The 12,133-nt window shown below is 38.2% G+C and overlaps 1 protein-coding gene across 17 annotated transcripts in view; it reads left to right on the top strand.

Moving 5' to 3' along the window:
- ENOX2 (ecto-NOX disulfide-thiol exchanger 2) overlaps window positions 1–12,133 on the top strand; it is a 280,885-nt gene that overhangs the window by 111,401 nt on the left and 157,351 nt on the right. For 11 of the 17 annotated variants that reach the window (NM_001382522.1, NM_006375.4, NM_001382519.1 and 8 more), the window contains one exon: window positions 8,119–8,262. The exons of 4 other annotated variants lie outside the window; for them this stretch is intronic. Coding sequence is in view for 3 of the 13 variants with exons in the window: in XM_011531245.3 (XP_011529547.1) it covers window positions 8,119–8,262 (144 nt within the window). In the remaining 10 variants the exon portion in view is untranslated. Of the gene's footprint in view, window positions 1–7,378; window positions 7,438–8,118; window positions 8,263–12,133 lie in introns of all 17 variants that reach the window. 2 more of the 17 variants (XM_047441768.1, XM_047441767.1) reach the window with 1 other exon arrangement.

The raw sequence follows: 12,133 nt of genomic DNA, 5'->3' as shown, positions 1-12,133 counted from the left end.
CATTAGGAGTGGAGTGTGTGATTGTCTACCATCACTCCCCAGGCTTCAGGAATCCTAAGATGCAGAAGATACCAGGAATGCTGAAGGAACCCATAAACCTTACTTCCTTCTTCCTTTCATGACAACTCCAGCAGCAGGTCAGCTGGTGCCTGGGATGGGAAACACAACTACAGATACACCTTGACTTATGATGTAGTTACAATCTGATAAGCGCGTTGAAAATTGAAAATATCATAAGTCAAAAATTTGTGACTCACTGAGAGCCGCAGCTGACCACTGCTGCCCAGCGTGGTAAGAGAAGTATGGTTTCTACTGAATGTCTATCACTTTTACATCATAAAGTTGAAAAATCGTAAGTTGAACCATTGTAAGTCAGATACTATCCATGCTGTATCCCAAATTGTAGCTGAGTTCAGTTCAATACTCATTTCTGGAGTGCTTACAATATAATACAAGGCACTGCGCCACGTCTTGGGGGAGGAGAGACTAAAAAATGACTGAGGCATAAAGTCTGTCCTCAAGGAGTTTACCACTAAGTGGGAGTGGGGTAAGGCAGAAGGGAAGGTAGGCTAAGACAGAATACCCAAAGAACTGTAACACAAGGCATGCTCTAAAAGGCTCAGGAAAAGTATAGGCTAACATTCAAGGACAGCCAGAATAGTATTTTATAATAAAAAAATCCTGAGGCCAGGTACGGCGACTCATGCCTGTAATCCCAGCACTTAGGGAGACAGAGGCAGAAGGATAGCTTGAGCCCAGGAGTTACCTGCCTGGGCAACATAGTGAGACCCTGCTCACCACAAAAAGGAAAAACAAAAAGCCTGAATTCCTTGTGTGACCTTGGGAAATTTACTTCAACTCTGTAAGTTTCTCATTCCTTGTTGTAAAATAAGAATAATAATTAGAAAATAAAATAAAGGGATAATGTTTGTAAACAAGCACATCCTAAACAACCAATGAATAGTAGTTTCCCTGATGGGTAGTTCCCCTCTCTCTGTTGCTGTGTATGTATTGGTTTGGGTAGAGGTGAATAAGGAAAGACACCATGAAGGAAATAGCATCTGAGATAAGCCCTAAAGGAAGGATGATATTTTGAACATTGAAAATTAAGAAGCAGGTGGAGGAGCAGTGTGAGCCAAAGGTGTGGAGGTAGGAAAGTACTGGATGGATTCAGTGAATGCTGTAGTTCCATTTTGCTGGAGTGCCAGCCCTTTTGACTCAAAATGTGATTCCCACACCAGCAGGATTAGCATCATCTGGGAACTTATAAAAGCAGACCACAACTCAGATTTACTAAATTAGAATCTGCATTTTTACAAGATCCTCAGGGAACACATGTCCACATTAAAAAGTTTGAGAAGTATTAGGGTAGAGCATAAGCTGGGGCATAGTGGGAGACAAGGCCTGAAATGGATGCGGCCTTTTTATGAGAGACTTTAGTGACTTGACCAAGTAGTTTGGGGAGTCATTAAAAGTTGCTGAAGGATCACTGCCAATGAAAATTGGTCTATGACCTGTATCCCACCTTGAAAATGGTGACTTAAAGATAAATTAGGCTCTGAAAGTTTGTCTACCACCATTCAAGCAAGCCCCTTAGTGCTTCCGAAAAGGACTTTTCCGTTTTCTTTCTCACTTCTTCTTCATTACCTTTACTTACCCATTATTTGTAACTCATACAATTACCCTTGCTTCAGCTAAACCAGTTAGAATATTGAACTCATGAAATTGACAAAGTAGGTTTCATTTGTTTGACATCAGTTAAGACCTGGCACTGAGAAATGTTCAATTGTCTTGGCTGCTAAGCCCTGTGGCTGAAGAGTAATATTGCGGTCCAACTCTTTTGGACATTGTAAATATTCCCTCAGAAGTAGCAGGTGGAATGGTTGGGTAGTGAGAGCTACAAATATGGTTTTGAGGCCTAGAATGAGGAAGCAGGAGGGGTGAATGAAAGTGAGGAGGGCCCTCCAGAGATGGATAAATCCTTCAACAGCACCTGCCAGAACATTAAGGGCCTGGCCATTATCTTAATCCCTTATTTTTCCAAAAGTTTTGAATTGAAAACAAATTTGGAGACCCTCATCTCCCAACATGGAATCTCATATCTGATTTTAAATTGAAGTCATTTGGAAAATAAGAATTAGGTTATAGAAACTTGTTTTACAGACAAATTAGCTAGACTGTTCTTATTGCCAAGTACTGATATTTTTTCAACATTAATTTATGTGTTGAGATTGTTGCCTTAATTTGAATTTATCAGATTTCTCAAGATTTTAGCCATTTTCTTTTAAAGCTAACTAATCCAGGGTGGCATTGTGTTTCTTTTCGCTAGGGTTATACAGTCTCTGAGCCACAGCTGCAGATAAAAAGTGGCATTCACTCACAGGGTCACATTTTGGTATTACAACCTGGGGCAATCATTAAAAGTGTTAGATTGCATCATGAAGGTTGGTCCTAATTTGACCTGATAGTGGACAGCTATGTAAAGTGAATTGTGACAGTAACTGTTAAAGCAGCTGGGCACAAAGAGATTATTGATCTTCTCACACAAGAATCATGAAAATTCTTTAGTGCTTTCCTCAAAGCCCACGAATCATTTGCATCTGTATGGCAGACATAACATTGCTTGTGAACTCCTTGACCTGCAGATTGGAGTATTCACTGAGCATCACACTTCATTCTGAGATGTTTAACCCCCTAGTTCCATTAGATGAGAAATGTCATTCTACAAGGAACCCCACCCCCACCCTTTCCCAATATACATACTTTCTAAAGCAGCCTCATACGTGTTATGGAGTCAGATAATCTGCATTTCAACATGACATGAAATAACAGCTGGTCAGCTGTCTACACCAGTCAACTTGGTTTTAGATGAGATTACGTTACCACATGGATTTGTTTATTGTGAACATGAGATACAGAAATAGTAGAAATCTGTAACACCAGTGTTTATTATCTATTTGTCTTTATTTTAATAATTTGTACTTCCCTTTGGACAAACTGTAAATTTTGTGGGCTGGAGGGAGGAGATGAGATGTGAGGGAAACAAATGAACGAAGTATGAGGTTTTATTAAATTTATTCTTAGGAATAAAAGGGCAAGGACTGTGAGGAATGCGTAAGACTTTGGACAATTTCTGACTTTGTTAGTTATCTGTTACTCTGTCATTTGTTTTTCTTACAGTGATTATCAGTAGAAACTTTTAAAAGTTATACATCCTATGTCTTCATTTTAGGTAAGATAAGCAAGAAGCTGTTTTAGGGAAATAAAAGGAACTCCCAAAATAGAGTAGGTGGTAGTTTTTAAAAGCAAGCTGAATGCCTGGGAGCCCAGCAAGGAATGAGTCCCAGGCGAAGCAGTGCCCCTGGATTTAGGCCTGTCAGGAATTCTATAGATAAAATTTCTATAGAAATAGAAGAATAAACTAGATAACCTCAAAACTTTCTTCCAAATCTAATATTTTTCAGTTTCATCATGTCTAGAAAAAATGGTAGAAATTGCTTCCATAAGAGATTTAAAGATAAATTCTGTAGTTTGGGTGAGGATTACAATATGGTAATTGCCAATATTTTTATATTTATGTCATAATTGAAATTTCAGCAATAAGAATTCTTGGAATTAAAGTGGTGGTTTTCTTTTTTAGTATTTAATCATTTTAATGGGACTAGTTTACTTAAAATAGCATTTGACCTGGGTCACATATACATGACACAAAAAACACCCTTTAAATACCTATTGATTTACTGATTTATTGGTTTGTTTGGTCCTGTCTTATGGAAGGAATGAAACAAAACAGTAAAAGTAGCTAGGAAGCACTGGTGTCATAGGATTTTGCTGTCTCTTTCATCCTTCCTCTTGAACTACAAATCTTTGGAGACTGTATTGGGTATTGGATGATATAAAATATGGGTTTGTGTTCAGCGAGTCAGCTTACTGAGTGAGATGTCCCCCCTCCATATGAGATCTTTCTCTATAAAAAAAATTAGGCCTGAAATGTTGTACTGAATTGTCATGATTTTCACATATCTGGATCATATATGAGGTGGATACACAGAAAGTACTTGAAATCTCAGTCTTAATTTGGTGCCAAAAATCTGTACATCCATGTAATTAATAAAATAACTATATCCCTAAGGTTACCATATGGGCCTAAAGAAAGGGCAAGCATAATTATAATAAAATGTCTATAACTGAACACCTTTAACTCATTAGATTTTTTTTTCCCCTGGATTCCTTCAACTTTTAGAAAAAGGTACAAACAGGAATGAAAAGGTTCAATGAGGAAAGCAGGGTACATCCTTGGATCAGGGCAGATTCAGAACAATCTCCTCACATTGCACATCAGTAACTAGAAATTAAAAATGGAAATTCAATGTTATAATAGTAGTAGTTAATACTTATTGAACATCTACTATGTGCCAGATGTTATGCTGAATGTTCTACATATATAATCTCATTTAATATTTTTAGCAGTCTTGTGAGTTAGGTACTCTTATTAATGTCCTTTTGCAAATTGTGGCTCCAAACCTCCGGAAAATCCTCAGTCATCTACTTAATAAGTCAGGGAAATGGACTAATATGTTATTCTGTAAAATTATCAAATGCAAAACAAAAATAAAAAGTTTTTCTGTTTCACATGAAAAAATGCTCATCATCACTGGCCATCAGAGAAATGCAAATCAAAACCACTATGAGATATCATCTCACACCAGTTAGAATGGCAATCATTAAAAAGTCAGGAAACAACAGGTGCTGGAGAGGATGTGGAGAAATAGGAACACTTTTACACTGTTGGTGGGACTGTAAACTAGTTCAACCATTGTGGAAGTCAGTGTGGCGATTCCTCAGGGATCTAGAACTAGAAATACCATTTGACCCAGCCATCCCATTACTGGGTATATACCCAAAGGACTATAAATCTTGCTGCTATAAAGACACATGCACACGTATGTTTATTGCGGCACTATTCACAATAGCAAAGACTTGGAACCAACCCAAATGTCCAACAATGATAGACTGGATTAAGAAAATGTGGCACATATACACCATGGAATACTATGCAGCCATAAAAAATGATGAGTTCATGTCCTTTGTAGGGACATGGATGAAATTGGAAACCATCATTCTCAGTAAACTATCTCAAGAACAAAAAACCAAACACCGCATATTCTCACTCATAGGTGGGAATTGAACAATGAGATCACATGAACACAGGAAGGGGAACATCACACTCTGGGGACTGTGGTGGGGTGGGGGGAGGGGGGAGGGATAGCATTGGGAGATATACCTAATGCTAGATGACACGTTAGTGGGTGCAGCGCACCAGCATGGCACATGTATACATATGTAACTAACCTGCACAATGTGCACATGTACCCTAAAACTTAAAGTATAATAATAATAATAATAAAAGAAAAAAAAAAAGTTTTTCTGTTTCACCGTCATTAATCAGAACCTCCTAATCCCTGAACATTCCTTTTCATCAGCATTTTACCATTCTGTAGTATAGTACTCAAATGATGGAGATGCACTTAGAATCTAATTATTTTAAGTAATGTTGATATAATCAGCATCAGAACTTTTAAGCTGTGGCATTAATTCTTGATTATCAGCTGTCAGGTCTTTCATTACATGGGTTAAAAGAATGAGTCATCTACCCCCATCCAATTAAGGATTAATTCATTTGGGCGCTCAAGGTATGGTGCTAGGCACCAAGAATATAATTGTGGGAGGGAGGGAGAGAGGGAAGTTTCCTTTTTAGGAGAGCTTTCAAGTTTATAGGGGGAAAGTTTGTTTTAATTTACTTAGAATAATGTAATTCTCATAAATATGTATGTGTTTATCTTTGCCACAGCCTTAGGTGTGTTATCACTCTCTTTTACACATTATGAAACCAAGACTAAGAGAGACCACATGACTTGCCAAAAGGTATCAGCTAGTAAAGGATAACCAGGATTTGAATCCCGGTCTGTCGGGATCTTTCCACTATGCCATTCTGTCTTCCATGGAACTTGTTTTGATCAGTATATTTCAGAAAGAAATTCCAAGAAAAGTTTTGGACTAGTATATTAATCATATTTGACTCTGGGACTAATCAGGTACGAGAACAATCTTCATTTGTAAATGGAATAAACATCTAGTCTTCTTTTTAAATAGTCTTGGTCATGATCTCAATTTTTTTTTAGTACATAGCAATTGATGTTTGTTTCTTTAGTTCTAGTCATGGTAGGGATTTAGTAGAACATGTATATGATGCAGTGAACAGTTCGCTTAAGATCCAGAAGCAAGTTTTACTCTTTCACTTAGTTACTCACATGATGTAAGGAAGAATGTTTGACAAGTTCCAGAAGACATTTAATGGAGGTGATCCAAGTGGAATCTGATTGCTGAAAAACAGTACTTGTTATGTGGGCTGAAAACATTAGCAAGAGGATACTCTTTATTATAAATAATAATTTAATGTCATTTCTTTTTTTTTTTTTTTTTGAGATGGAGTTTCACTCTTGTTGCCCAGGCTGGAGTGCAATGGCACGATCTCGGCTCACTGCAACCTCTGCCTACCGGGTGCAAGCGATTCTCCTGCCTCAGCCTCCCAAGTAGCTGGGATTACAGGCATGTGCCACCACGCCCGGCTTATTTTGTATTTTTAGTACAGACGGGGTTTCTCCATGTTGGTCAGGCTGGTCTCGAACTCCTGACCTCAGGTGATCTGCCTGCCTCGGCCTCCCAAAGTGCTGAGATTACAGGTGTAAGCCACCATGCCAGCCCATTAGAATCTTAGCATTCATTTTATTGAAACTTGATTGACCTTTAGCTGACTGGATTTCAAGGTTTTTTTTTTTTTAACTGACAATTTACAACATTACCTCAAGAATTGTACAGCTATGGGCCATAGAAAATTTGGGAGTTAAAGAATGAGCTATGGGCTGCGCACCGTGGCTCAAGCTTGTAATCCCAGCACTTTGGGAGGCCGAGGCTGGTGGATCACCTGAGGTAAGGAGTTTGAGACCAGCCTGGCCAACATGGCAAAACCTCATCTCTACTAAAAATACAAAAATTAGCCAGGCATGGTGGTGCATGCCTATAATCCCAGCTACTAGGGGGGCTGAGGCAGGAGGATCGCTTGAACCCGGGAGGTGGGGGTTGCAGTGAGCCAAGATCATGCTGCTGCACTCCAACCTGGGCAACAGAGCAAGGGACCATCTCAAAAAAAAAAAAAAAAAAAGAGTGAGCTATATCAGGCCAACCTGATTTCCCCCCCTTTGATAGGATTAGAGAACCAGTGGAGAAAAGGCTTACAGGAGATGTCTTAACTTTGGGCTTTAAAAAAGCTTTTGATTTCACATTTCATGAAGTTTAATTGAAACACTTGAAATTCCAGGTGCTGCTGCCAGAGGAGTAAGAACTGTCTCTGTCTCTGCTTGCCCCTGATTGAACCATGTAAGACTTGGAGAGTAGAAAATACCTTTTGCCATTTTATATGGTGCAGCAGTGACGAGTAAAGTGACCATGCTTCTAATATTATTTGAAGAGAATGAGATTAACATTACCGAAATCTAGGTCATAATTCCCCATTGCTCCAGCTACTAAATAACCCCCTTGCAATTTCTATATATTTGTTTCCTTTTCTCATTTGCCATGGAGTTATGGTTTTCTGATTTTAGAGACCCCTATATTACTATTGGAAGTGACTTTGACACAGGATAGTCTGATGATTATATCTGCATGAGATCAACATACCTTGTAATGAAAGAATGGTAAAATGTCAGGAGATAATCCAAGGAATGCAAAGCCAAACTTTTTACAAGGAACAGTGGGTCCAACCATAGCCACATTTAATGAGGGACCTATCAGTTGCTAGCTTATGACTAAAAATGTTAAGTTGCCGCAGAAACAGGAGGGATCTTACAAATGACAGAGCCACAGTCTTATATTTTAATTTTGTACTTACCGAAAAGATCTGTAAAAATTACAGAAGGCAACTGTCTTTAAGGAATTCACCTGTTTCTCCTAGGCTTTTAAGATTTAAAAGGTTTTCCACTAGTGGCTCATATAATAAAATCTGGAGACAATCCCAGTCCTTAATGGAGTCTGGACTTTGGCTTTCTTTTTCTTCTTTAGGATTGAACCAGCTGCCCTTTGACCCTGCTAACAACAACGAGCCCCTGCAGTTTGGTAGTGCCAGTGGCCCTCTGGTCACAGAAGGCCTCATTGAGAATGGAGGGGAATCAAGCAAGAAAAGAAAGAGAACAAATACTCCTTCAGGTAAGCTAGGTGATAATGCACTGTCTTAAGCCAGTACCAGAGTCAACATTTTCCCAGAGCCTAGTATGTGGCAGGTCACATACTATGCTAGAGCTTGTAGGAACTAAATAAATGAGAAAGAGTCCCCTGTCCTCATGGAACTCATTATGGGATTGAAGGAGGGAAAAGCACATACACGAATAACTGTGATAATTAGATAGAGTATCATCAGTGCTGTGGCAAGTGTGTAAAGGGTGAAAAACCGATGAGAGCACAAATGAGGAAGAGTTTAATTCTGCCTTAGGGATTATAGAACACTTCATGGCAGAAGTGCCATTTTTAGCTGATCCTTGAAGAATGGGTAGGCTTGAGACAAGAGATGAGTAAAGAGCATCGATTTAGGTAGAAGGAATTGCATGAGTGAATGGTTTCACTGTGCATTTGTCTTTGTATGTACATGTGGCAGGCCATCCTCACTTTTACTTCTAATACAGATAGCTGCATATATTTGCATCTCCCCACCTCTACCCCTGTTCCCCTCAATACCCACTATGCCTACATATGTTTTATGCCCTTATAATTCTCTTAGAACAGTTGGCAAACAGATTCTTCTAAACCCTCTATAACAGCCCAATGGAGCTTTTAGCCTCCCTTGCAATTTCTCCTACCCCAATCCCTCATGTCCCATTGGCCTATTCTCATCTTAATGTTTCTTTTTTTTTTTTTCCAAAAGGAGTGAGAAAACCATAGGAGAGCCACATCTTAACTGATCATTTGATATTTTACAATTTTATGTCTTTGTTGCATGGTTATTCATTTGGAAGTAGAATCTGTAGTATATAGAAACTGATCTGAGATTCGGGGATGGGCATAACAGACATGTTCATCATTTTTTCTTTGTTTTGTTTTTTATTATTACTTTTTACTTTCAGCTTGTGAAATGGAACATGTTTACAAATGTATCATATCTGACTCTTAGATCATAGATCTCTGCTTATAAATCAAGATATTTGTTAAATATGAGTTTGGAAAATGAAAATACAGTAAAACATTAGTTACATGGAACCCTCAAGAAATGAGTGATTCTTAGAGAGCTCTGTTTTCTGGAGCATGGAAAGGCATGGTGTATAGCCAAGGAACTGGCCTGAGTTCTAATCCTGGTTTTATCTCTTTCTGTGGCCTGGAGTTATTTGCTTAACCTCTCTGAGAGTCACTTTCTTCAGCTGTAAAGTAAAAGTGATACTAAAGCCTATGTCTTAGGATTTGTTATGACAGTTAGTTGAAATGATGTAGGTAAAGTGCTTAGCATGGTGTCTGCATACAGTAATCACTTAATAAACGTTACTATTTTATTAGCATTATTATATGATATTATAAATTTCATGTTTTAAATCATCAACGTGTTTCACATTTTTAGGTTAAGCATTATGAGTATAAACCATATGTGTGTATGTGTATAAACTCATCTGTCTTTTAAAGACATGTATTCAATATAATTTAAACTTTGCTTGATCATTTAGGGGCGTAATTCCAGTCATTAGTTATTGTACGGCACTCTAATACTTTTAAATTTTTAAGGGTTTACTAAAAAGTATAGGTTTTTTACCTCTACACTAAATTGTTCTACGCTGCGGTGGTCTTTTAGTTATTATAGCCACATTTTACACATGTCCTGTCTCCTTTCTGCTGCCTACAGTCACTTTTTATTCCTCTCATCGTCCCTTCATGTAGCAGCCGTTTTTCTCCTTCTACTGAATTAAGAACAACAACAACAACAACAACAACAAAACCCAGCCATCTCTCCAAGCTGATGTGCCAGATTAGTATAAGTAAAAGTTAAATCAGCTCTAAGTGGAACCTGCCACGGATAGAGTGCACAGAATTTAGGGCATCAACTTTAAGACATCTCTTCTGGCTCTGAGACTTTTATGATCACCTACTAGTTTTTCCATTGTATTCATGTTAAGTGATGTTAAGTGATGTGTGAGTTTAGGGTAATACCTCCTGAACTGCAGTTAACTCATGAGGGTGGGGAAAGGAAGTATGTATTAATCTGAATTGTGAATTAACTTTAAAGAATTGCAGTTTTATTTCTAATGAGCACATTCAGTGAGAGCAAAGTAACTTGCACATATAGGATTTTAACAGTAGATTATGCTAATCTATAATTAGCAGAACAATTTGCATTCAAATAATGAATATGCTGAAGTTCTTAAAAAACAGTATGTTCTTTAAAATAAGTGAAATAAGCCCCTGGCAGGCTAAATTAGCTCCCTTGAAATCTTGTTCAATATTTGCTTAGAGAACCTTTTCTTTGTTAGTAGGACAAAGGTAACTCCAACCCAGGTTAAATTACCACAAATTCCAAATTAGTGTAGTCCAAATTAATGAGATTTTACTATACAAGGAGTCTTTTATAATTGTATAATTTATACTTGAACAATTTTATAATTGTTCAGCAGCAATCTTGTGATATTGTAAATAGGCAGACAGCTTTATAATATTATTTTGTTCCTCTGCAGTACTAGACAAAAGGAAGAGGGAAGATATTTCATGAGTAGCAACTTCCCTCTTCCTTTGTCATCATTCCCTGCACTGTGGCAAGGAGGAAAGCTAGAGTTGGAAGTTCCCAAAGGAGCTACCGACCATTTCATTTCCAAGCTGCATGTCCAGTCATTGCATCACTCGGCCCTGTAACTCCACTGAGTCAAAGCCATCTCTCTCCCTCTCCTTCCCTGCAAACGAGGGAGGGATATTTGCTTGCAGATCCAGTTCCACACTACACAATCTTTTTTCCTCCCTTTCCCAACCCTCCTACCTCTTCCATTTTCTACAAACTGCCTCTTTCCTTTTGTACTAAAACTGATTTCTTAAAGGTCACCTGTGACCTTCAGATTGTCAAAGTCAGTGGCCTTTTGGCAGGTCGCAACCACCTTGAACTCTTTGTTTCATTTGATGCTATTAACAATGCCCCCTTCTTTGTATTTTCTCTACTTTTGCTTTCCTTGGTAATACACTTTGCAGATTCTTCCTTTACTGTCTCCTTCAAGCCTTCTTTCTCATTTTCTTCATCCCTCGACTGTAAGTATACTATTACCCACATTTCTAGATGAAGAAATAAAGGATAAACTTACCCAAAGTTGAATGTCTAGCAAGTGGTTTACCCAGGCCTCTAACTCCAAAGTCTATTTCTAACTACTATGCTGAAGTTACTGTGTCTAAAGTTATTAGGAATCTAGAACCACCACTAAAATGTATGTAAAACATTGGTGCAGACTAGGGAAAGCTGTGTTTATGTGGAAATAAATAGGTAAGAATAAGAGGAGCAGGCCTTGGATATGATAATCTTGAGGATCCCTTCAAACTCAGATCTCATGGTTCCTCTTTTCAGCTTTCTTTTTTTTCTGCTACTCCCCAAAACAAGTCTTCTATTTCAGCCACACCGATCCACTACTTTTCTCTGAAGACACTGTGCTTACCTACCTCACCACCGTGCTCATACCATTCATTTCCCTTTCCCAGCATGCTCCCCTTCTTCTTTCACTTGTCAAAGTCTTATCCAACTGTCAGTGCCTAGTACAAGTCCTACCCTCTATAAGAAGCCTTCTGGATCATCTTAATTAGAAATGTTCTCTTGTACCTCTGAAATATATCGGTCATTAAATTCATATCAATCACTTGACACTGATTGTGGACCACCTTGAACTATTGCTTATGAGTTTGTGTATATATATATATGCCTTAGCTTTTCAACTCAGTTATAACTCCCCTGTTGGAAGGGCCCCAACTCTCTTAGCAGAGATATGGTGTCTTACACAAAATAGATGCTCCAGAAATATTTGTTGCTTGATCACATATTTGATTGAATAATTGCTTTCTCTATGCCTTTATA

Source organism: Homo sapiens, chromosome X (assembly GCF_000001405.40).
Source record: "Homo sapiens chromosome X, GRCh38.p14 Primary Assembly".
NCBI lineage: Eukaryota > Metazoa > Chordata > Mammalia > Primates > Hominidae > Homo > Homo sapiens.
The sequence above is the reverse complement of the archived record's forward strand: the minus strand, read 5'-3'. Positions and strand labels throughout refer to the sequence as shown.